The sequence below is a fragment of the Homo sapiens genome, chromosome 16 (assembly GCF_000001405.40).
Source record: "Homo sapiens chromosome 16, GRCh38.p14 Primary Assembly".
NCBI lineage: Eukaryota > Metazoa > Chordata > Mammalia > Primates > Hominidae > Homo > Homo sapiens.
The window spans coordinates 2,771,413-2,795,588 of NC_000016.10; the positions used below are offsets into that span (position 1 = coordinate 2,771,413).

General features: G+C 54.3%; 2 protein-coding genes across 7 annotated transcripts, besides 5 other annotated features; both read right to left on the reverse strand.

Annotated features, from left to right (window-relative positions):
• Position 1: 1 nt before the first annotated feature.
• ELOB (elongin B) lies at positions 2-5,868 on the reverse strand. 2 transcript variants are annotated; one of them, NM_207013.3, is made up of 5 exons: positions 5,825-5,868; positions 5,581-5,715; positions 4,039-4,144; positions 582-690; positions 2-192 (listed from the first exon to the last, which is right to left on the reverse strand). In NM_207013.3, exons 1-5 carry the CDS (start codon positions 5,825-5,827, stop codon positions 60-62), a joined length of 486 nt encoding a protein of 161 aa, NP_996896.1. In that variant the 5' UTR covers positions 5,828-5,868; the 3' UTR covers positions 2-59. The 2 variants fall into 2 exon arrangements, with proteins under 2 accessions (NP_996896.1, NP_009039.1); NM_007108.4 differs by having other exon boundaries at positions 2-690.
• Positions 1,657-1,809: a silencer, noted in NCBI's record as "fragment chr16:2823070-2823222 (GRCh37/hg19 assembly coordinates)". NCBI's record gives its function as "represses an EF-1alpha promoter that drives an FKBP-Casp9 reporter gene in an ReSE screen in phorbol 12-myristate 13-acetate-treated (for megakaryocytic differentiation) K562 erythroleukemia cells {active_cell/tissue: K562(+PMA)}" and the evidence as "EXISTENCE:reporter gene assay evidence [ECO:0000049][PMID:32094911]".
• Positions 5,859-5,988: a silencer, noted in NCBI's record as "silent region_7073". NCBI's record gives its function as "represses an Ori minimal core promoter by ATAC-STARR-seq in GM12878 lymphoblastoid cells {active_cell/tissue: GM12878}" and the evidence as "EXISTENCE:reporter gene assay evidence [ECO:0000049][PMID:35858748]".
• Positions 6,059-6,198: an enhancer, noted in NCBI's record as "active region_10283". NCBI's record gives its function as "activates an Ori minimal core promoter by ATAC-STARR-seq in GM12878 lymphoblastoid cells {active_cell/tissue: GM12878}" and the evidence as "EXISTENCE:reporter gene assay evidence [ECO:0000049][PMID:35858748]".
• Positions 6,846-7,780: an enhancer, noted in NCBI's record as "NANOG-H3K27ac-H3K4me1 hESC enhancer chr16:2828259-2829193 (GRCh37/hg19 assembly coordinates)". NCBI's record gives its function as "activates a minimal SCP1, AML or CMV promoter by ChIP-STARR-seq in primed H9 embryonic stem cells {active_cell/tissue: H9 hESC(primed)}" and the evidence as "EXISTENCE:reporter gene assay evidence [ECO:0000049][PMID:30033119]".
• Positions 7,781-8,714: an enhancer, noted in NCBI's record as "H3K27ac-H3K4me1 hESC enhancer chr16:2829194-2830127 (GRCh37/hg19 assembly coordinates)". NCBI's record gives its function as "activates a minimal SCP1, AML or CMV promoter by ChIP-STARR-seq in primed H9 embryonic stem cells {active_cell/tissue: H9 hESC(primed)}" and the evidence as "EXISTENCE:reporter gene assay evidence [ECO:0000049][PMID:30033119]".
• PRSS33 (serine protease 33) lies at positions 12,541-16,503 on the reverse strand. 5 transcript variants are annotated; one of them, NM_001385464.1, is made up of 7 exons: positions 16,452-16,503; positions 15,090-15,192; positions 14,677-14,709; positions 14,387-14,549; positions 13,963-14,234; positions 13,590-13,759; positions 12,541-13,390 (listed from the first exon to the last, which is right to left on the reverse strand). In NM_001385464.1, exons 2-7 carry the CDS (start codon positions 15,133-15,135, stop codon positions 13,232-13,234), a joined length of 843 nt encoding a protein of 280 aa, NP_001372393.1. In that variant the 5' UTR covers positions 15,136-15,192; positions 16,452-16,503; the 3' UTR covers positions 12,541-13,231. The 5 variants fall into 5 exon arrangements, 4 of the variants coding, with proteins under 4 accessions (NP_001372393.1, NP_690851.2, NP_001372392.1 ...); NM_152891.3 differs by lacking the exon at positions 16,452-16,503 and adding an exon at positions 16,121-16,148; NM_001385463.1 differs by lacking the exon at positions 16,452-16,503 and adding an exon at positions 16,075-16,148.
• Between the last annotated feature and the right edge of the window lie 7,673 nt (positions 16,504-24,176).

Here is a 24,176-nt window from a genome sequence, read left to right on the forward strand (position 1 = left end):
CTGGGTCTGTAGACTGTTTATTAAAGGTGTGTTAAGGGGGCAGCCACTTCCCTCCGTGATTACAGCCCCCAGCGTGGGTGGACCTGTGTGGGTCCGTCTTGGGGTTCCCTCGTTGAACATGCTGTCAAACCAGGACACTGGCTCCAGCTTGTGTTTCTGCTCTTGGCCATCGTCTGGGAGTGGACATGCAGGCTATGGGGGTGGGGGGCACTTAGAAGGAGAAAGGCCTAAAACTGGAATCTCTTGTCCCTGAGGCTGGCTCTGGTCTTTGTGTCTCTCCCAGTCCTTCCCTTTCCTCCCCCTGGCGTGGTTGGTGTGGCTGGCTAGCTGCTAACAATGGCTTGGGTCTCAGGGCAACCCAGGTCCCCATGGTGCCTTTAAGCAGCAGGCTGGGCCAAGTTCTCAGCCAGGGTCTCAGGATCTGGGAGACAGGACAGCACAGGAACTGCCAAGCACAAGCCCCAAAAGGAGCCCACAGGGAGTGGGACCCATCCCAGGGAGGGGCGGGAAAAAGAGGCAGCAACCAGGCAGACTCCCAAATCTCTTTTATTGGGGGAAATGGGCCTCTTGGGGGTCCTCACTGCACGGCTTGTTCATTGGCACTGCTTCCCGAGTCCTGGGGCTTCATCACATCGGGCAGCTCTGGCGGGCTGGAAAACGGCTCGATGCACAGGGCCTCAAAGGTGTCATCTGTGGAGGAAGCAGCAGAGCTGCAGGGGGGTATTCCAGCTCTTGCCCCAGCTGGGGCCTTGGTGTTCACGTGTGATCATCTGCAGCTTTGGGGATCTCCATGCGAACGCCCCTCCACACGGCTGTAGTCTCCACAGCGCTGACCTCCCTGTTCCAGCTACCCCCGTGGCCCCACGGTAATGTCTCCTACCCCTGTGGGCCCAACCTGAAGGTCCCCAGCCCTTCCCACTGACCATGCTGGGGCCCCTTTCCTCATCTTCCATGTCCACTAGTGAGTCTGAGGGCTCACCATCTGCAGCCAGCATCACCCTTCACCCAGAATATATCTCCTTGTTCCCTTCACACACTTTGGGAGGCCGAGACGGGCAGATCATGAGGTCAGGAGGTCAAGACCATCCTGGCTAGCACGGTGAAACCCCATCTCTACTAAAAATACAAAAAAAAAAAAAAAAAAAAAATTAGCCGGGCATGGTGGCGGGCACCTACAGTCCCAGCTTCTCGGGAGGCTGAGGCAGGAGAATGACGTGAACCCGGGAGGCGGAGCTTGCAGTAGCTGAGATCGCGCCACTGCACTCCAACCTGGGCGACACAGACTCCATCTCAAAAAAAAAAAATCAAACTAGACTATCTAGACTATTCCTCCCCTGCTGAAAACCATCCAGTGGCTTCCCATCATGACCTGAATACCACCAAGTCCTTGCCGTCTGTCTCTCCCTCTGCTTCCCACGCTCTGAGGCTCTGGCTCTCTATGTTCTTCTGTAAGTTCTTTCCTAACTCAGACCTTCGCACTTGCTGGTCCCAGCACTCGGAATGGCTGGCTGCTTCTGGACTTTCAGGGTCCAACTCAGGTCACCTCCTCAGATGAACCTCCAGTCCACGCACCCCCAAAAGTCAAGACATCCTGACACTCTGGGCGTAGGGGCACTTACCACTGGACAAACTGCCCTTTTGACTGGCTCCAGGAAGGCAAAGGCCTTCCCTGTCTTGTCCCTACTGTCACCCCAACACACAGCAAACAAACCCACAGCTTTTCTCCTGTGCTTTCTTCCAGCTAGGAGACCCATCTCTGCTTGGCTCAGGGTTCTCAACTGATCAGGCATCCCAGGGAAAGCTGGAATGCCTGATCACAGTTGTGGCGGTCACAAATGGGGAGGTGGGGTGCCCCAGCGCTATCTAGTGGGTAGAGGCCTGGGATACGGCTCCACGTGCTATGGTGCACAAGGCAACCCACACAGCAATCCAGCCCAATGTGCCCACTGTGCCGAGGTTCAGAAACTAATCCATCTTCCAAGCCACAAACCTGTGACAATTCGTGCCTTCACTACCTCCCTCATTCTTTTGTGATGAGCCGGGACAATGCCCTTTAACATTTGATTTGAAATACTCATCTCCTTGAGTGGTAAGCTTGGGGGAGGGGAGAGGCGGAGGGTGGGGCACCCATTCAAGGCCTGGGAACAACATGATGATGGGTTGAGCTGCACCCAGAAGTGTGTTTCTGCAAGCATTCCATGGGGAAGCAAAGAGCTGACAGCCCATGCTGTGCCCCCTATCAAGACAGCCATCACCTGCAAGAGGGATGATGTGACCTGGGCTCCGGAGTCACCACCACATTCCATGCCATATTAGGGGTTGTGGGAGAAAAACAAGTCACCTTCCTTAGCCTTGATTTTCTCATCTGCAAAATGGGTCTATCAGTATCTTCCAAGTCACAGCAAACCTCTAGGGGTACCACTGTTGAAATTAGAGAAAGGGACACTTCTGGGGGAACACAGCCCAGCTTCGGTTCACGAAGCAGACCAGATATGCTCTTGGCACTCCCTTGCTCTCTTCAGACAGGCACCCCTGGGCCAGGCACCGAGGCTCAGGCCTGTAATCCCAGCACTTTGGGAGGCTGGGATGTATGGATCGCCTGAGGTCAGGAGATTGAGACCAGCCTGACTAACATGGTGAAACCCCATCTCTACTAAAAACACAAAGATTAGCTGGGCGTGGTGGCACATGCCTGTAATCCCAGCTCCTCAGGCCACTGAGGCAAGAGAATCGCTTGAACCCGGGAGGCAGCGGCTGCAGTGGGCTGAGATGGCGCCACTGCACTCCAGCCTAGACAACGGAGTGCGACTCTGTCTCAGAAACAACAACAACAAAAATGCACCCATGTACAAGGCACGACCTGTGTCTATGCCAGCCCTGCACCTGACTCTTAACATCACCATCTGGGCAGAAAGAGCCCACAGAAAGGCTCTGAAGCTTCCCATCTGTTGGGCACTGGCAGCAGGCCAGACCTGGGGTGCATGAGGACTCAACACCACCTTGCTGTGAAGCCAGTCTCATCACACCCCTTTAAGGAGAAGGGAACACTGGGGCCAGGAGGGGCAGGAGGGCAAGGTAGCTGGCCAGAGGATATAGCTGCTGAGACTGAGGCCTAGCCTGAACTTATGGAACGGAAAGGTGGAGCTAGGACTCTACTCTTCCTCTTCAGCCTTTGCTATGTTCCCTTACAGGCAGAAAAATAAGAATTCCTTACAACTTTATCCAAGTTTTCTCAGCCATCCACACAGCTGCTGGGTCCACAGCTGTGAAAACACAGCTCTATAACCTCTCTTCAAGTTCCTAGAGACAAAATATTTTAAATCTCCCCTCCCTTTCTCTTGGGTGGAAGAAGATATCTTGGCGAGTAGTAAACCACTCCCTAATCCCCAGGTTTCTAAAGCTTGGGCAGGGGTGGGGTATGGCTGATGGAAGCCCAGGCTCTGGATCTGAATCCTAGATGTGGCAGTCCCAGCAGATGACCTAACCTCCCCAGGCTCACTTTACTGAACCTGAAAACTGGCAAAATCCAAATCTCAGCCACACAGAGATGCAGAGGGTTTCGGTGATACATAGCATAGAGCCTGGTATGATGTCTGACTCCAGCAAGGGCCCGGCAGTCAGCATCCTAACCGTGGCTCCCTACGTGACTGCTGGTAAGCCTGTGTCCTCATCTGCAGAACACGGATGATGGTATGTGGACTTCCCAGGGCTACTGAGAGGATGAGACAGGGCAGTGGAAGCCACACACAGAGTAACATGCAGAGCACGGAGCCAGGCACTCACTCAGCCTCCTGTAAATGTGAGCTGGCTTCACAAAATAAGCTTTGGTTTCTGTAAGCATCTCATTTGGTTGCTTCTTTTTTAAAAAAAAAAAAATGAGGAAACAAACACATTGTGAAAGGATATTGCCAGCCCTTTAGGCACGAGGAAGACACTGCCCTGAAGGCTTCAACTCCAGGCTCCCTGATGACCTTCTTTGGAACAGTGTTCCCAACCTGCTTGGCTACCACCCAGCCCAGTGGGTGGTGGGCCTCTCACCTGCCCGGAAGGCCAGCCCCACTGTGGCTGGGGCCTGTGGCCGTGCTGTTTGACTGGTGAAGCCACACTCGCCCAGTGTCTTGCCATCATCCAAGAGTTGGTCATCCTGAGGAGAGAAGCAGGATCTTGGGAGAGGCCCTACATGGGGCAAGTCCCAAAGACTTCTGACCAGCAACTACACGGGAAGTCAGAGGAGGGAAGAGAGAGTTCCCTCAGTGTGGCCCAGGACCACCACGCTGCTTGACAAATACACAGATTCCAGGGTTATATCCAAGAACTTCTAAATCAAAACCTCCCAGGGTGGGACTTTAGAATCCGGTTTTATCCAAATTCTCCAGGCAAATCTAATTTGAGGAGCCACTGAGCTATCTGGAGATAGGCAGACCTGGCTTTCAATCCCAGCTCTGTCACCCTGGACTAGGCATTTGAACATTTTTTTATTTTAGAGACAGGGTCTCGCTATGTTGCCCAGGCATGCAGTGGCACAGACCCAACATAAGCGCTATCATAGCCCCCTCCAGCTTGGAACTCCTGGGCTCAAGCAATTCTCCTGCCTCAGCCTTCAGAGTAGCTGGGACTACAGGACCATGCCACCACGGCTGGCTGGTAGTTGAGCCTTTTGATGCAAAGTTTCCTCATCTGTAAACTAGGAATTACCAGAATTCTCAATTCGTAGGGCCACCAGAGGGTTTCAATGAGCTAGGAAGAAACATAAAGCACTAAGTAGACATGTGGCACACGGGACATGCACAGGCACGGTCATTTAATATTTGCTAAGTCCCAGTAGTTATGAGTGAGGAAAGGCCTTTAGAGACCATGGGAGCTGAGGCTCTGAGCCTGGAGCTAAAAGTCAGTTTCCCAGTTTCCAGCTCTAGAATCTGAACAATGCACTTGGGCGACAACCTCACAATGTTGGGAGACGTAAATCAGAGGCTGATGCATCTGACTCCCCAATGCAGACCCCAAACCCCAAGCCATTCTGACTGAATAATCTCAGTTCGTTTGCAAGGGGAAAGGGGGGCTTCTAGGACATCAGCAGGAGGTCGGGAGGTAATAACAAACGGTTGCTTGGTGAAGAACGAGTGGGACCTGACTTTCTTTGCATTCACTGAGTTCCCCACCCTCCACCCGAAGGAGTGTCCGGGGGGACAGCGTGATTCCGATGGGCCTGCGAAGAAGGGTGGGGATTAAGGGGTCGTGGTTCGAACCCTGGCGCTGCCAATGACCTTTGGCTGGTTAAGCGACCAAGCCGAACCTCAATTTCGTCAACTGCACGGCGCGGGCGATACCGTTGCAGGGGTTGCATGCCACGGTGCCCTCGGCGCCCGGGGCCCGGCACGAGGTCTAAACATCGCCCCCGGACCGGAGATCCCCGCGGCGAGCGCAGCTCGCGCTTCACCCGCACAACGGATGTCCCAGTCCCGCGGCTCGGGCGCCCGCAGGCGTCGCCGGCCGCTACTGTTTACATCGCGGACAGCGTAGGCGTCAGCCCCGTGCCCGGCGCCGGGTACCCGCTCCCCTCGGCCCGCCCGCGGGACCCACCTTGTACAGCCGCTGCTCGTCAGGAGGCCGCTTGAGGATGCCCTCGACGATGCGCTTCAGTTCGAACACCGTGCTGGACTCCTTGGCGTCCGTGAAGATGGTGGTCTTGTGGCGCCGGATCATGAGGAACACGTCCTGGGGGCGGCGGGCCGGCGTGAGCACGAAGCCCGGGCCCCCCGCGCGGCCCAGCCGCCCCCCGCCGCCCCCGGCCCGGCCCGGCCGCCCCTCCCCCACGCCCGCTCACCATCGCGGCTGCTGCCTCTCCCCTCGACGCGCCGGCGCAGCCGCGCTCCGCCCCGTTCCCGGCAGCCCGCGCGTGGCCCAGCATGCCCCGCGCCGCGTCCCTTCCCCCGGCGCAGCCCCGCCCCGTGCCGCCCCGCAGCCGCCGCCATTTTAAGTGATCTGGAAGCGGGCGGTATCGAGGGGCGTGCGGCCGCCATCCCGACGGCGGGCATGGCCTTTGGAGGCGGTGGCGCCGTCTTGGGACTGGCAGAGGGGAGGTCCCCGTGTTGGTGCGGTCCGGCGGGCTCCAAGCTCGGGCACACCGAGCTCGGGGCCGTCTTGTCGCGGCGTAGTCGTGGCCGCCATCTTGGGCAGGCTCCGCATTTGGGGTCTTCTGGCCGCCGTGCTGGGGACAGTCACCCCCGCTCCCTGACCCGGGCTGGATGCGAGGACTGTCGCCGCTCAGAGGGGCTTATGACCTGTGAAGAGCCCTGGGGGCTGCTGTTGGGCTTAGGGATGGCCCGGGCGAACTCCTTGGGCTAGAAGAGGAGGCACGGGAGCGGTTGGCGACCGCTCTTCGCAGGAGGAGGGAAGGGGCAGCTCCTTGCCCCAGGAGCCCTGGGCGCCTGTCCGCCTTCCTGCTTGGCTGCATTTCGGCTCTGAAAAGGCCTAGAGACTTGATTCTCCTGGCTGGCCGCTCTTTCCACCAAGGCCCTGTTTCCTGAATGCTGGACACTATCCTGCATCGCCCCAAGTTACATTTACATGAGAGTGAGGGCCCCCCACTTGACCTCTCCCTTGCAGAGACACCCCAGGCTGGGTCGTGCTGGGCGGGTGTCGGAGGCGGCGTTGGAGAGATGAGCCAGAGGGTGGCCCTGGACGCCAAACCGCCCTGCAGTCCTCCGAGCTGCGCTTTGAGGGCTGTTGAGAGAGGGGTGGAAGGTGGAGGTGCGATTTTTGCCTCGGCATCTAGAGAGGCGAAGGAGCAGCCCTGGGCTCCGCTGCTGACTGTGGCCATGGGCCGTTAACCTCATCAAAGCCCAGTTTCCTCCTGTTGTAGATGGGAGAGGAACAGTTTTTGAACTGCGTAGAACCTCGGCAAGTCTTAGCGCTGCATTTGTGTTTTCTAAGCTGTAATTCTAGTTATTGCTACTTTTGACTTGTGGAATGTGGCTCCTCCCTGGGGAGTCCTCCAAAGTCCCTTCCCTCGTGTGACTTCCTTCACTGCGGTTCACTGCAGCCCCTACCCCCGCTCCCAGGGTCCTCAGCATCGCAGTCCCTGCAGAACCTGTCTCTTCTTCATGACGTGAGTCATGAGGCATTGGACAGGTAATTGCTGGGAAGAGCTCTTGGCCAGGCTAAAATTTCTTTCTCAGTCGCAGTGTCTGGCTGGGGGCGGTGGCTCACGCCTGTAATCCCAGCACTTTGGGAGGCTGAAGGGGGTGGATCACTTGAGCCCAGAAGTTCAAGACCAGCTTGGCCAACAAGGTGAAACCCTGTCTGTACTAAAAATACAAACAAAATTAGGTGGGCACGGTGGCGCACGCCTGTGGTCCCAGCTGCTCGAGAGGCTGAGCCAGGAGGATTGCTTGAACCCGGAGGCGCAGGTTGCAGTGCGCCGAGATCGCGCCACTGCACATCGCCTGGCGACAGAGTGAGACTCTGTCTCCAATTAATTAATCCCAGTGTCTTTACCTACATAGAACTGGCAACTTTAAATCCTGTGCTTCTGTGGAGGGAGAGCGAAGGAAGAGTGTGGACAGTGGGGGCCAGGAAGTTCTCAGGTAGCCCAGCAGGCCACGCAGAAGTCAAGGGGTGTGTAGGTACAGGAGGGGCCGTCTCCACAGGGAGACGCCTGGATCCATACTCCATCCAGGCTTCATCTGCAGAGACCAGGGGTGGACACCTCGTTTGTGGGGGCCGTCACAGCTGATGCCCCAGCTCAGGATGTCCACCAGAAACCAGGAGTCACCATCCTCTTAAGGGTGGTGCCTGTCCTCCAGAGAGCATATCACTGGGTTCAAACCCCAGCTCCTACCGGCAAAGCCCGGGGCCTCCACCTGGGTGTTCCCATCCATGAAGCGGGGATACACAGTGTGGAGCCCTTGGGAGGTTGGGGAGTGTGCCTGCCCTCACCGCGCATCAGCTCATAAATACAACAACAGTTGCCTTCACGTGCTGATGCTCAGTGAGCAGTGGCGCAGTTCCCCAGCTGGCGCAGTCAGTGGTGTCTGTCTGCTGTCAGAGGTCACCTGGACCCAGCACGAGTCCTTGCCCCTAGAGGGAGTCTCCACACACCCCACGACGCTGTCCTCCCTGTGGGATAACTACACGAGGAGATGGCAGGCCATCGTATCATTCAGTGCAGCGATACCTCCTGTGGTGGGAATGGGGTCAGGAGGGATTTTCCCGGAGCAGGGCCACTCGCTGGCCTAGCCTGGGGTCTCCACTTTTGGAAGTGTGGTCTTGTGGGGTCCAGGTTCTCCTTAAGGGCCTTTACAAGGAATGGGAGCGTCCAGTGGTGGAGAGGAGCTGGCTGGCTGCGCCTGCTACCCACACGGGAATGTCCTCCTGGGCTCCTCTCTTCAACTGGCCTTCACCTCTCCGCCTCACAGATTTCACTCGGAGAATCCGCCTTGCAGCCTGTCTTCTGCTCCCTCCCATCTACCTTTTGTTTTTTTTTGAGACGGAGTCTTACCCTGTCTCCCAGGCTGGAGTGCAATGGCGTGATCTTGGCTCACTGCAGCCTCTGCCTCCTGGATTCTCCTGCCTCAGCCTCCCGAGTATCTGGGATTACAGGCATGCACCACCATGCCTGGCTGTTTTTTTGTATATTTAGTAGAGACGGGGTTTCACCACGTTGGCTAGGCTAGTCTCGAACCCCTGAGCTTGTGATCCACCTGCCTCAGCCTCCCAAAATGCTGAGATTACAGGCGTGAGCCACCACGCCCAGCGTCTGTCTACCTTTTATTCCCATCACTCCCCACCCCAGACAGGGTGTTGTGTTATGATGGGGAAGGCCCTTGTGTCTTTTGGGTGTGTTAGACCTGGGAAACAATCTGTCTTCTCCTTTCACGTGCCCCAAAGCAGGACTCCAATCTTCCCCGGGCCTTTCTGATTGGGAGTCTTAAGACCCTCCCCAGAGAGGGCCCCACCCTGTTCCCTGGGAAAGGAATGCTGACAAAACCCTACAGGACGGTTTGGAGACAGGGTTAGTTCAACTCGTGTGTGTCCCCAGAGGGTGACACCACAGGGATGAATGGGAGCTCCAGGCCCCTCCCCAGCACCTCAACCTGCACATTGCTTCATCTGGATCCTTTGTAACATCCTTTATAATAAACCAGTGAAGGTGTTTCTCTGAGTTCTGTGCATCGCTCTAACAAATTAATTGACCCCAAAGAGGAGAGTCATGGGAACGCTAACCTGAAGCCAGTCAGTCAGACGTTCCGGAGCCCAAACTTGCGATTGGGGAATGGGGAGGCAGTCCTGTGAGCCCCCACCTGTGGGACCTGAGGCTGGCGCTGGGCAGATAGTGTTGGAATTGAGTTGAGGACACCCTGCTGGTGTCCAGTGCTTAGTGTGTGGGGGAAAAAAACCCACAACTGTTGGTCACAGGAGTCTTCTGTGTTGATGATTGTGGTTTTGGTGTGAGAGTGTTAGGGACCTCTGCTTACCAGGCCTCTGGTTTAATAAAACAACCAGAGTGACTCCATCTTAAAATGTGTAGCTAAGCACTCACAAGGCATCTATAAGGTTCATGCTGTCTGAAAATAGCCACATTCTTTTTGTTTTTGAGACAGGGTCTCCTTCTGTCACCCAGACCAGAGTGCAGTAGCCTGATACTGGCTCAAATAATCCTCCCACCTCAGCCCCTGGAGTAACTGGGACTACAGGCATGCACCACCACATCCGGCTAATTTTTGTAGTTTTTGTAGAGATGGGGTTCCACCATGTTGCCCAGGCTGGTCTCAAACAGCTCAAGCAATCCTCCTGCCTCAGCCTCCCAAAGTGCTGGGACTACAGGCATGAGCCCCTACACCCAGTCTAAAATAGCCACATCTTAAGCTGGCCACCAATTAGGATTACAAAATGTTTATGGCCATACAGGACTTCTCCCAGAAGGCCCATAGAATGTCCACACGTTCTGAGAATGCAGCCCACTTTACTAAGATAGTGTCAGTAAGCAGGCTAAGACAGAGGATGCACGGTCACCGATGGCACCAATAGCCCCGACCTTTAGTGAGCACATATCTGCACGTTCCAGGTTTATTTACTGCTCCTTGTAGTTTCTCTCTCTCTCTCTTTTTTTTTTTTTTTTTTTTTGAGACAAAGTCTCACTCTGTTGCCCAGGCTGGAGTACAATGGTGTGATCTGGGCTCACTGCAACCTCCGCCTCCCGAGTTCAAGTGATTCTCCTGTCTCAGCTTCCTGAGTAGCTGGGATTACAGGTGCGTGCCACCACACCTGGCTAATTTTTGTATTTTTAGTAGAAACGGGATTTTACCATGTTGGCCAGCCTGGTCTCGAACTCCTGACCTCAGGTGATCCACCCTCCTCGGCTTCCCAAAGTGCTGGGATTACAGGCGTGAGCCACTGAGCCCGGCCTGTAGTTTCTTATAAGCAGAGACACTAACCAAAGACGTTGAGTTCTTCCTCCTGCTCTCTGAGCACGCCTGCTCTGTGATGGAGTCCTTTCTAATCAACTTGCTTCTCTCACTGTGCTCTGTGGCTCACCTTGAATTCCTTCCTGTGTGAGATCCAAGAACCCTCTCTTGGAACCCTGTCTTGGGGTCTGGATTGGGACCCTCTTTTCTGGCAACAAGAGTAGAGGAAAAACACAATTTGAGAGAGATTTTCCCTACACACAGATCTTGCTCTGTAGCCCAGGCTGGAGTGCAGTGGCGTGATCTTTATGGCAGCCTTGAAATCCTGAGTTCAGGCGATCCCACCTCACCCTCCCGAGTAACTGAGACTGCAGGCACGGGCCACCATGCCTGGCTAATGTAATTTTTTGTAGAGATGGGGGTTTCACTATGTTGCCCAGGCTGGTCTCGATTTTCTGGCTTCAAGCAATCATCCTGCCTTGGTCTACCAAAACACTGGGATTACAAGCATCAACCACTGTGCCTGGTCTACTTCTTTTGTTTTTGTGTTAATACGTAGTAGTTATTCACGACCATGCGTTAGTAATGTGCCTTATTTGTAAGAGTGTTTTATAGCTACTTTTGTCCCCATAAGGGATGTGACATAACTGTTAGGAGTGTGGGATTTGAGTTCAAATCTGTCTCCACTACTTACCAGCTGTGGGCCTGTGGCCAAGTTACCTAACCTCTCTGGGCCTGTTTCCCCTTCTGTGAGATGAGAAGAGTATCTCCTTCAAGGGCTCTGAGGTCTGCTGAGAGCATGTACATGCCTGGCACAGTGCACATACTCAGCGGGCATAACGACCACCTTGGCCGACATCTGGACCCCCAACAGCCACGGGAGTGCAGGTGTTATCAGTGCAGATTACGGAGAGGGAAGTAGGCCCCATCCTGTGGAGGTCAGTTGCACGGGGCTGACAAGAGCTGCCACTCGTCTGGCCCCACAGGCCATCATGCCGGGAACGGGCCAAGAGGACGGGTGCGGGGAGGCTGCCCTTTTGGGGGTGGGAGGGAGTGGAGAGAGTGGAGGACCTCTGCTTTTCCCAGAATCAGACCACCTGGGCTGGAGTCCCAGTCTACCAACCTTGCCGGCGGTGTGACTTTTGGGACTTGTTTTTCTCATCTGACAAATGGGGACAAGCCACCTCACGGAGCCTCCTGTGGGAATTCAATGAGCTGATGGAATAAAGCCCTCCCTCTGCACAGTGTCTGGTGAGGGCTTGACGAGGGGCCGTGATTTCTTCTCATTAATGATCCTCCCTTCCCTGCCCGGCTCCACTCCCTTCTGCCTCCTTAGCTGGGCCTGCAGCCTTTTGCAGGCTCGCCTGCCATAGCCATGCCCTGTCGTCCTGGGCACCTGGTGCCTGATGACCACACCAGTGGTGGCCAAGCTGTACTGCAGCATGGTCTGTTCTCCACCTGGGGGACAGAGAAGCCTTGAGCACCCTCCCTGCCCCACCTGGCCTGGCCCAGCCGTGACCATCTAGTACAGCCCACTTCCCTGGCTCCCCAGGAGGAAAGGGGAGGGAGGCGATGCTCAGGCCTGTGCCTGGACCTAAAGGGGCTGCGCCTTTGAAGTTTACCTTCCCTTATCTTCCCTTCCCTTCTGCTGATAGCCCCTGTCAGCTCCAGAGTAGGTTTTGAATTTTCCAGGTTTTGTTTCTTTTCCTTCTGCAGCTGTGGAAACTGACCTCTATCTATTGGAACGGGTGGTCCTGGCTCTGGAGACAAGGACATGGCAGAGAGGGGACAGGATGCCAGGCACCAGGCTGGAAGGGGACCCCAAGGGTGGGCAAGGACCTGCACGTGGGCTAGCTGTTGGCGTCTGGGTGCAGGTGTCAGTAGGGTGGCCTGGGCCCCAGGCTCACCCTGGGAGTGAATGGTGGCCAGACACAATGAGAACAGAATCTGGGCCTGCCCCGGGACTCCTGACCCCTCCTGGGCCGAGGGCCTGATACCAAGTGCCCAGCCTCTTGCAGTATGTGGGGAGGTGGCCGCGCTGGCCAGCCCACCTTTCCCACTGGGACACCTTCATCACAGTGGGGCAAAATCTATATTAGTTTTTATTGCTGTATAACAAGTCAGCACAAATGGAGCAGCTTAAAGCACACATTTATTAAGTCACAACTTTGTAGGTCAGGAGTGGCTCAGCTAGGTTCTCTGCTTAGGGTCTCTTTAGGTTGAAATGAAGGGATTGGCCGGCGGGGCTCTTATCTGGAGGCTGGGGAAGAACTTACTTCCCAGCTCCTTCAGGGTGCTGCCAGAATCCAGTGCCTTGCGGCTGTGGGTCTGAGGGTTCCGATTCCCTGCCGGCTGTCTCTCAGCTCTTAGAGGCCGCTCATGGCTGTGGTCCCCGTGTCCTCAAAGCCAGCTATGGAGGATCTCCCTGGTGTCAAATCTCTGTCATGCTGTGAATCTGACTTTCTCCAGAAAAAGATGGGCACACAGGCCAGATGGGCAGCAATTGGTTTGCCCATCACTGCGTGCCTTGCGCCCAGCCCTGGCCAGGGCCAAGAAAAGTAAATACAAGCCAGGAAGGGAGTGGGGAGTGTGACTCCCTGGGACTCATGGCAGATTCCTGGATGAGGGTTGGTGGAGTCAGAGCTGGTGATCCCCAAAGAGGAGAGGAGGCAGGAGGTGGTGGGTGGGGGGTGGGGTGGCCTTTAGCTTTTTTAGGCATCTTGGCCTCGAGGCAGAAGGGATGTGGGGTATAGGCAGGTGCCTGGATGAACCAGGAGGCTGAGGGACCCCAGCAGCTGGCTCCAGGTCAGCCTCACCGGCTAGCATTAGAAGCTGACGCGAGCCTGAATCCAGGGGCTATATGTGGCCACACTGGTGTAGACCCCTGGACGGTTGGGCAGGGCACAACCCTTGCCCCAGCTCACCACGCCCACCAGGACCCAGCTCCCAGACTGCAGGCAGGTCAGAGGTCCCCCAGAATCACCCTGCAGGAGAAAGAGGAGCCTAAGTCCCAGCCCTCCCAGGACTTCAGTTCTCAGGGTTCCAGACCCCTGGCGTGGTGCCTCTAGGTTGGAGGCCAGGATCCTGAGCCTGAGTTGGGATGTCCTGGGTCCTGGAGTTCAGGGAGGGAGGGTGCTGGGCACAGGGAGGGGACTCCGGAGGCTGGGGAGGCTGGGTGCACACCTGGCAGGCGTCCTTGTGGCCCTGGGGGTAGCCGGCACACAGACTCCCAGGCAGCACAATGCGCTCAGCCTGGGGCACGTCCGCGCCCACGTGGTAGAGGCCGTCGCAGGTGCGCGAGTCCAGCAGCGGCACCCTTACTCCTTGTAGCGGTCGCCACTCTGGGAGGGGCACTGGGGGAAGAGGAGGGACCTCTGAGAGGAAGGCGTGGAGCGGGGGCCAGTGGGAGAAGCTGAGCTCTGAGTGAGAGGAGGTTTTGTTCCCTAGAAGCCGCGCTGGGTCCTGGATTGGGGCAGTGAGGGGCTGGGATTTCCAGTCAGATGGAGGAGGACGTGGGGGCTCCCGGATGCCTCGGAGCCCCGCCCTCCTGCCTTACCTCCTGGGCGGAGGCTGCCCCAGCCGGTGACCCGGCATGGTGTGCCGGGCGGCGGGCGGGCGCCGGGCACGGGCAGGCAGACGGGTTGGACGCGAGCGCTCAGGGGCACCGGGCGACGCAGCTGCAGCAGTGCCAGGTCGCCGCGGGCCCCGTCCTCGGAGTAGTCCGGGGGCAGCAGCACCCGTCGCACGGGCACCGAGAGCGTGCGGGGCGAGGTGGAGCCCAGACGCAGCGCCCCCAGGCGCACGCGGTACTCAGCTGGCAGTGCCCTCCTGCAGGACAGGAGCGGGGGACTACTTCCAGCACCGGGTCCTCGACCCCCTCCAGCCCGCCTCGACCCCAACGCCTCTGCCAGGCCACGCCCGGTCCTCTGCGGGCCTTGCCTTCCTTGCACACCCCGCCTGGGCCCTCGGTGAGCGCTGACCTGGGGAAGCAGTGCGCCGCTGTCAGCACCCACTGGGGGGCGATGAGCGACCCCCCGCACACGTGTGCCCCACGATGCTGGATGCTCGCCTGCCACGGCCACTCTCCGTCCCGGCCATCCCGGCCCCCAACGATCCGACTGGACATGCGGGGCTGCCCGCAGGCTAGAAAAGGACCAGGGGCGGTGAGGGTTGGCTGAGGACCTGGGGCCTGGGAGGCAGGTGTTGGTGGGGAGACACGGGGCCGAGGTCCAGGAGGGGCTGACTCGGGTGGACTCCGAGGCTTCCTCACCTGCAGACTTCCTTCCCTGAGTCCCAGCAGCTCCTGGAGGAGGAAGCAGGGAAGGGACCAGATTATAGATTTGGTGTCAAATAACGGAGTTGGAGGGGAGGCCAGAGATGAGGAAGGAGGGTGAAACAATGTTGCCCTGACATTGCGCCAGGCTTTCGTGCCGTCTGTTATCTTATTTAACCCTCCCCAGAGCACTGTGAAGGTGCAGGGGGCAAGGGCGTATGAGCATGACACCGACAAGCACATCGAGGTGTGGTGAGGTCAAGGTCAGTGGCAGAGAGGATTGAGCCCTTGGAATCAAGATTAGAAAGCCCAAGAGTGCTCCAGGGAGCCCGGCCCAGGGAGCAGTGAGATGGGAGAACTGGGAGCCAAGGTGTCTGCGGCCCTCACCCCCAGTCCCTGTCCCCACTCACCCAGCACCAGAAGGAGCAGGACCTGGAGACAGGAAACCCCTCTCATTCTGTCTTCAAGGCTGGGCTGGGTAAGGGTGGCACTGCCTAGGGCTTGGACTCTGGTCTGGAGCCAGCAGGGAGAAGAGAGGAGAGTCCTGGCCCAGGGGCACCAATCCTCACACCAGCCCGTCACCCCCTCCGTGGTCCTTCTGTCTGTCCTCAGCTCCTGGTGGGTTCTGGACTTATCCTGGTGGCCCAGGCTGTATACCCTTCGTTCTGCCCAGGGCCCAGGTATGCAGCACCCACCACCCAGATATTTGGGCATCCTTGGTCTCGACAGAAGCCCTGGAGCCTAACCCCCCTCGGTCATCCTCACTCCCTCCCTCATCCCCCTCCCCCATCCTCACCCCCTCCCTCATCCTCACCCCCTCCCTCATCCTCACTCCCTCCTCCATCCTCACCCCCCTCCTCCTCACTCCCCTCCCTTATCCTCACCCCTTCCCTCATCCTCATCCCTCTCTCATCCTCACCCCCTCCCTCATCCTCACCTCCTCCTCTATCCTCACCCCGTCCTCCATCGTCACCCCTGCTCCTCCTCACTCCCCTCCCTCATCCTCACCCCCTCCCTCATCCTCACCTCTCATCCTCACCCCTCTCTCATCCTCACCCCTCCCTCATCCTCACCCCTCCTCTATCCTCACCCCCTCCTCCATCCTCAGCCCCCTCCTCCTCACTCCCCTCCCTCATCCTCACCCCCTCCCTCATCCTCACCCCTGTCTCATCCTCACCCCCTCCCTCATCCTTCACCCCCTCCCTCATCCTCACTCCTCTCTCATCACCCCTCCTCCATCCTTCACCCCCCCATCGTCACCCCCTCCCTCATCCTCACCCCCTCCTCTATCCTCACCCCCTTCCTCCTCACTCCCCTCCCTCATCTTCACCACTTCCCTCATCCTCACCCCCTCCCCCATCCTTCACCCCTCCTCGTCCTCACCCTCATCCTCACCCACTGGCTGCCCCTGCAGCCCCCACAGCCCCTGGCTTGCTCTCACCCTCACAGCCTGGCGCCTTCTGCTGACTGGGGTTGAGGGAGGGCCTGGGGGCTTAAAGTGCCAGGAGAGCGCGAGGCTCAGCCAAGGAGTAATGAACAGGGCCGGGGCGGGGCTGTGGCTTTACCGGACCAGCCTCAAACAAAGATGCTTTGAGCAGAGCTTCAGAGGTGGCAGGAAAGGGTCAATGGGTTTCTCAAAGGAAGCCTGCCTTGCGCCAAGGTACTAGAAGTGGGGGCTGGCGGAGAGCAGTGGTGCGGGTAGGTGCTGGGAGGGGTGGCAGTCAGGTGGGGAAGCTCTGCAGGATCCGGGGCAACTCCTCTCCAAACCTGACCTGGGCTCCCTGCAGAGCACACGTTGCTGGAGCTTCTGCGCTCCATTGTTCTGTCCAGAAATCCCATCTCAGACGGAAGTCCTGGCCAGACAGCTCCACCCAGAGACCCCAGCATGGCCAGCCCCCTTCCAGATCCGGGGTCTGGAGCAGCTGGAGGTGGAAAGGGACTGGTTCAAAGTTGGTGGCACTCCTTACTTGACCAGAGGCAGGGGGAGACTTGACCTTGGGGACCAGTGCAGTCTTTGGTTTGGGGTGGCCGAGACAGAGCAAGATGCTGGGGTCAGGGGACAGGAACTCCCCTTCTCTCGAGGCCCGTGGAGGACCGGGGCCCGGATGGTCCAGGGCCCTGTAGTTCCCTCTTGGGCTCATACACAGTGTTCGCTGCCTAGAAGTCTCTCAAGTCCCTCTCTGCATAGTGAACTCCTCTTATCCCTCAGCCTTCTGCTCTGCCACCTCCTCCTGCCTCCTTTGCAGCCCTGCCATAGTTGTACTTTTTTCCTTTTTTTTTTTTTTGTTTTTCTTTCTTTTTTTTTTTAAAGAGACAGGGTCTTGGCCAAGCATGGTGGCTCATGCCTGTAATCCCTGCATTTTGGGAAGCCGAGATGGGTGGCTCATTTGAGGTCAGGGGTTTGAGACGAGCCTGGCCAACATGGTGAAACCTCGTCTCTACTAAAAATACAAAAATTAGCCAGGCCTGATGGTGGGCGCCTGCAATCTCAGCTACTCGGGAGGCTGAGGCACAGGAATTGCTTGAACCCGGGAGGTGGAAGTTGCAGTGAGCCGAGATTATGCCACTGCACTCCAGCCTGGGCGACGCAGTGAGATTCTGTCTCAAAAAAAAATAAAAAGGGAGAGAGAGACAGGGTCTTGCTCTGTCACCCAGGCTGGAGTGCAGTGGTACAATCACAACTCCCTGCGTCCTTGACCTCTGGGCTCAAGTGATCCTGCCACCTCAGCTTCCCAAGTAGTTGGGACCACAGGTGCATGCCACAGCACCTAGCAATTTTTTTTTCCAGAGATGGGGTCTTGCAATGATGCCCAACTTGTTCTCGAACTCCTGGGCTCAAGAGATCCTCTTGCTGTAGTCTCCCAAAGTGCTGGGGTTATAGGCATGTGCCACCGAGGCCAGCCCATAGTTGTCCTTTGACAGGGACTTGAGGAGGTTTGATTTACATCCTCTTGTCTCCCCTCCAGCATCAGGGTCTGGGTCTGTGTCCCTGTAGGAGTCCGCTTGGGCTGCCATAAACAAAAACCACAGCCGAAGGGGCTTTCTTTTTTTTTTTCTGAGACAGAGTCTTGCTCTGTCTCCAGGCTGGAGTGCGGTGGCGTGATCTCGGCTCACTGCAACCTCCACCTCCCGGGTTCAAGCTATTCTCCTGCCTCAGCCTCCTGAGTAGCAGGGATTTACAGGTGCGCGCCATCACACCCGGCTAATTTTTTTTTTTTTTTTGTATTTTTAGTGGAGACGCGGTTTCACCTTGTTGGCCAGGATGGTCTTGATCTCTTGACCTCATGGTCCGCCCGCCTCGGCCTCCCAAAGTGCTGGGATTACAGGCGTGAACCACTGCGCCCGGCCGTGGGGGCTTAAACAACATAAATGTATTGCTCATGATTCTAGAGCCTGGGAATTCCAAGATCAAGGTGCCAGTAACATAGTTTTCATTCTAAGGCCACTTTTCTTGGCTTGTTGGGTGGCCTGCATCTTGCTGTGTGCTTCCGTGGCCTCTGTGTGCATGAGGGGAGGGAGAGAGACAGGTTGCACTCTTGTCACTTCTTATGAGTGACACAGAACGGCTGGGCTCCCACCTTCAAGCCTGGAGCCCCAGCCCTAAGTGAAAACATCTGACCCTGTTTTTCTGCCCAAATGATTGCCTTCTTGGCCCACCCCGCCCCCTAACCTGTACCGGTAAAAACCAGACCAGATGGCAGAAGAAAAGGAAGAAAAGAGCAACACAAGCAGCTGACCAGCAGGGATACAAGCTGCTGAGCCTTGGGGATACATGCGGCTGAGCTTTAGCTGTGGATAGATGCGGCTAACTTCAGATGGTGCGACTTCAGGGAAAGATCACCTTCCTTCCGCATCAATTCCCCATCCTGCTGACAGCCACTTTTATCACCCATTGAAATCCTCCGCATGCACTACCTTCCAAATAGCTCATGTGACCTGGTTCTTCCTGGACACTGAACAAGAACTCGGGTGTCAAAAAGGGCAGGTGCAGGATGCTGTCACCCTGACCCTTCACTGAACTGTTAATATTTAGCCATCCACGAACAACAGCTGAGTGAAACGAGCCACTCCAGTTCCTGCCCACGAAGGGGGTCACAGTCAAGGGAACAAATCCCGTCTCATAAGGACACGAATTCTATTGGATTAGGGTCCTACTCTTTTTTTTTTTTTTTTTTTAAGACAGGGTTTTGGTCTTGTTGCCCAGGCTGGAGTGCAGTGGCACAATCTCGGCTCACCGCAACCTCCGCCTCCCGGGTTCAAGTGATTCTTCTGCCTCAGCCTCCCGAGTAGCTGGGATTACAGGCATGCGCCACCACGCCCAGCTAATTTTGTACTTTTAGTAGAGACAAGGTTTCTCCATGTTGGTCAGGCTGGTCTTGAACTCCTGACCTCAGGCGATCCACCCGCCTTGGCCTCCCAAAGTGCCGGGATTATAGGCGTGAGCCACTGTGCCCAGCAGGGTCCTACTCTTGTGATCTCATTTAACCTTAATTACTTCCATAAGGGCAAATACAGTCACAACAGTGAGTAAGGCTTTGACATATGAATTTTGGAGGGGACACAAACATTTCAGTGCATAACATTCTCCAGTGGGCAGGACAGTGCCCAGCACAGAGCTGGCACTAAGGATTTGGGAATAAGTGGCCAAGGCTGAGCAGGGCAGCAGACTGGGGATGAGGCTGAGGGACACAGAGGAGGGGGCTGGTGGGGACACAGACCCAGCATCTGGATGCAACGTAGACAGAGGGTGGTCTTCAGGCCTGACCTCTGCTGTCCCCGTTTTAGGACCACCCTCAAGACCCGCTCTCTGCAACTGGGCTTTGGCGCCCCGGTCTCCAGCTCTGAGTCCTTGGGAGAGCTGTTGAAGCCTCACCTACCCTGCTTTCCTCATCTGCAAAATCCACCTGGTAGGTTGTGGTAAAGATTAATGGGGTTGACCATGCAGAGCTTGGCACAGTGACCAGCACTTGCCAAATACTAGGAAAGTCCTGCAAGAATAAAAGAAGTACACTCCCACCCTCCCTGAGCCTCCAGAATCTTCTGCTATACCAGGTCGGCTTGCCCTTAGAGGGCATAGTGGGGACAAGGCCAGGTGGGCAGTGTCCCTCTCTGTCATGGTTGGGTGCGGCTGGAGACCTGGACCAGTATGAGAGTGACAATGGACCCTCAGAATATGCAGCCATCCCGGGGGACTTGGCCAAGCACTGGGAGGGAAGCCAGCTAGGAGGATGGACTCCCTGTTCAGTGGGAGCTGGGTCTCTGCCTCTTCAGCGGGAGCTGTGTCTCTCCCTGTTCAGCGGGAGCTGGATCTCTGCCTGTTCAGCGGGAGCTGGGTCTCTGCCTGTTCAGCGGGAGCTGGGTCTCTGCCTGTTGCAATTTGGGGTGAAGGGGGAGGTTGGAGATCTGAGGACACCTGAGGGCTTGGGTTAAAGAAATGGATTCTCACGGCGAAATGGGCTTTTTTCAGGGGAGGGTCTGCAACTGGTTAAATATTGGACATCGGATCTTTGGGAGAGGAGGGAAAGAGCCCCCAGACCCAACCCCTGTCTCAGCTCCTATGTTGAGAAACTGAGGCACAGACCCTCAGGTAGACCCACCTCCCCTTCAGCACCACTCTTTTTTTTTCTTTTTTTTTTAGTGGTAAAAAACACACAATACAAATATACCATCTTGGCCGGGTGCGGTGGCTCACACCTGCAATCCCAGCACTTTGGGAGGCTGAGGAAGGTGGATCACCTGAGGTCAGGAGTTCAAGATCAGCCTGGCCAACATGGCGAAACCCTGTCTGTACTAAAAATACAAAAAATTAGCCAGGTGTGGTGGCGTGCGCCTGTAATCCCAGCTACTTGGGAGGCTGAGGCAAGAGAATCGCTTGAACTGGGGAGGCAGAGGTTGCAGTGAGCCGAGATCGCACCAATGCACTTCAGCCTGGGTGACAGAGTGAGACTCCGTCTCAAAAAAAAAAAAAACAAAAACACACACACACAAAATAAACAAATATACCCTCTTAATTTTTAAGTGGATGGTATAGTATTGTCAACTATATGCAGATTGCCGTAAAGAGATCTCTAGAGCATTTTCATCTTGCTTGACTGAAACTCTCTTCCTTGAACAATAGCTCTGTGTGTCCCTCTCCCCCAGCTCCTGGCAACCACCATTTTACTTGCTGCTTTGATGAGTTCGTTACTTTAAATACCTCATATAAGTGGAATTTTGCAGTATTTTTTGTTCTGTAACTAGCTTATTTCACTTAGCATAAGGTCCTCAAGATCCATCCGCGTTGTAGCATATGAAAGAATTTCATTCTTTTTTAAGGGTAAATAATATTCTGTCAGAAGTTCCTGACCAGCCTGGCCAATATGGTGAAACCCCATCTCTACTAAAAATACAAAAATTAGCTGGGTGTGGTGGCGCCCATCAGTCCCAGCTACTCAGGAGGCTGAGGCAGGAGAATCGCTTGAACCTGGAGGTGGAGTTTGCAGTGAGCCGAGATGGTAACATTGCAGTCCAGCCTGGGCGACAGGAGCGAAACTCCATCTCAAATCATCATAATAATAATGATAATAATAGGCTGGGCACGGTGGCTCACGCCTGTAATCTCAGCACTTTGGGAGGCCCAGGCAGGTGGATCTCGAGGTCAGGAGATTGAGGCCATCCTGGCTAACACGGTGAAACCCTGTCTCTACTAAAAAAAAAAAATACAAAAATGTAGCCAGGTGTAGTGGCATGTGCCTGTAGTCTCAGCTACTCAGGAGGCTGAGGCAGGAGAATTGCTTGAACCCGAGAGGCGGAGGTTGCAGTGAGCTAAGACTGCGCCACTGCAATCCAGCCTGGGCAACAGAGCAAGACTCTGTCTGAAAATAACAATAATAATAATATTCTGTTGTATACGACATTTTCTTTATCCGTTTATCCGTTGATGGACATTTGGGTTGTTTTCATATCTTGGCTATTGTGAATAATGCTGCAATGAACATGAGTGTGCAAATATTTTTCTGAGATCCTGTTTTCGGTTCCTGGGGATATATACCCAGAAGTGGACTGCTGGATCATATGGTAATTCTATTTTTAATTTTTCGAGGAAACTCCATACTGTTTGCCATAGCGGCCGCACCATTTTTACAATCCCATCAACAGCTCTCAAGTGTTCCAAATTTTCCACATCCTCACCGACACCTGTAATTTTCTATTTTTTGTTTTGTTTTGTTGTTGTTGTTGTTTTGAGATGGAGTCGCACTCTGTCGCTCAGGCTGGAGTGCAATGGCATGATCTCAGCTCACTGCAACCTCCGCCCCGCCCCGGGTTCAAGCAATTCTCCTGCCTCAGCCTCCCAATTTTCTGTTTTTTGATAGTGATCGTCCTAATGGGTGTGAGGGAATATTTTGTTGTTTGAATTTGCAATTCTCTGACAATTAGTGATGCTGAGCATGTTTTCGTGTGCTTGTTAGCACATGTGTGTATCTTCTTTGGAGAAATGTCTGTCAAGTCCTTTGCCCATTTTTAAATTGGGTTATTTATTTGTTATTGGGCTGTAGTTCTTTATGTATTCTGGTTATCAGCCCTTTATCTGACATATGGTTTGCAATTTTTTTTCCTATTCCATATGTTGCCTTTTCACTCTGTGGATCATTTCCTTTGCTGCACAGAAGTTTTTGTTTGATGTATTCCCACTTGTCTATTTCTGCTTTTGTTGCCTGTGCTTTTCACATCCGATCCAAGAAATCATTGCCCAATCCAATGTCCGGGAACTTTTCCCCTAGGTTTTCTTTCAGGAATTTTATTCACACACTGGGAATTTCTAGGAATTTTTCTTCTAGGAATTTTATGGCTTCAGGTCTCACGTTTAGTTCTTTAAGCCATTTTGAGTTGATTTTTGTATATGGTATAAGATAAGGGCCTATCTTTATTCTGAAACCACTGTTGCAAAATTACGATGGAGAAATATAGCATAGCTGACTCTGTCTTCCTTTTTTTTTTTTTTGAGACAGAGTCTTGCTCTGTCTCCAGGCTAGAGTGCAATAGTGCAATTTCGGCTCACTGCAACCTCCGCCTCCCAGGTTCAAGCGATTCTCCTGCCTCAGCCTCCCGAGTAGCTGGGATGACAGGCACCTGCCACCGTGCCCAGCTAATTTTTGTATTTTTTAGTAGAGACGGGGTTTCACCGTGTTGGTCAGGCTGGTCTCAAACTCCTGACCTCAGGTGGTTCACCCGCCTTGGCATCCCAAAGTGCTGGGATTACAGACTTGAGCCACCACGCCTGGCCAACTCTGTCTTCTTCTGACCTTCAAGCTGTCCTTGGTCATTCCTAGGCATAGGCCAAACTAACTTCGGGAGGAATTTACTTTATAGTTTAACTTAAAAGCAAAGATGATAATAGTCCCCACTAAAATTAACTCCCTCTTTGCTCAGGGACCAAAAACCGCCTTTGTAAGACTAATAAAAAGCCAAAAGACTAGGATGATGGGAGGGGCCTGAACTCTGCTCAGAGGTAGGCATAGTTTCAGTAATGCCTTACTGCTCGGGGGTCATGTGGCCAGAGCTTACAAGATTTGTGACTTCCCTAATTGCTTCTATAGATAACACCACTATTGTACAACCTAGGATTGTTTTTTTGAGATTTTGTTTGGACTGACCTCGCCCAGACTCATGACTCATGACTCACGGCTCAGCTAATCCTGTGGCCCTACCCAAAGGTGGATCAGCACCCAAGGACCCCTATGATTGCATCCCCAACGAATCAGCAGCACCCATTCCCTAGCCCACTGCCCACCAAATTGTCCATAAAAACCCTAACCTCTGAGCCTTCAGAGAGATTGATTTGAGTGATAACTCATTCTCCTGTATGGGCCAGCCTCACGTCAGTTAAACTCTTTACCTACTGCAATGCCAAGGTCTCAGTTAATTGATTAACTGTGCAGCTGGCAAGAAGGACCCATTAGGTGATTACAGTTCTTTTGCATGTGAATAACCAGTTTTCCCAACACCACTTTGAAGAGATTATCCTTTCCCCATTGTGTAGATCAGTTGACCATATATATATATATATATATATACATATATACATATATACATATATACATATATACATATATACATATATACATATATACATATATACACATATATATACATATATATACACATATATATACATATATATACATATATACATATATATATACGTATATATATATATGAGGGTTTATTTCTGGGCTCTCTGTTCTGTTTTGTTAACTTGTATGTCTGTCTTTATGCTAATACCATATTGTTTTGATTCCTGTGGCTTGGTAATAGTTTTTGAAATTGGGAAGTTTGAAGCCTCCAGTTTTGTTCCTTTTTCTTATAATGGTTTTGGTTATTTTGGGTCCTTTGACATTCCATATAAATTTTAGGATTTTTTTCTGTCTGAAAAATGCCATTGGGGTTTTGATAGATATTGCATTGAATCCACAAATTGCTTTGGGTACTATGGACGTTTTAACAACATTGTAATTGCC

What these genes read in the sequence shown, in the direction of transcription:
- PRSS33 (NM_001385464.1), bottom strand. Translation starts at nt 15,135, where the DNA reads ATGAGAGGGGTTTCCTGTCTCCAGGTCCTGCTCCTTCTGGTGCTGG. An exon ending in CCTGCTCCTTCTGGTGCTGG is followed by an intron (nt 14,710 to 15,089) that starts GTGAGTGGGGAC and finishes TTCCTCCTCCAG; the next exon opens with GAGCTGCTGGGACTCAGGGA. An exon ending in GCGGCGCACTGCTTCCCCAG is followed by an intron (nt 14,235 to 14,386) that starts GTCAGCGCTCAC and finishes CCTGTCCTGCAG; the next exon opens with GAGGGCACTGCCAGCTGAGT.
- ELOB (NM_207013.3), bottom strand. An exon ending in ACGAGCAGCGGCTGTACAAG is followed by an intron (nt 4,145 to 5,580) that starts GTGGGTCCCGCG and finishes TTCTCTCCTCAG; the next exon opens with GATGACCAACTCTTGGATGA. An exon ending in GCCAATGAACAAGCCGTGCA is followed by an intron (nt 193 to 581) that starts GTGAGGACCCCC and finishes CCACCCCCATAG; the next exon opens with CCTGCATGTCCACTCCCAGA.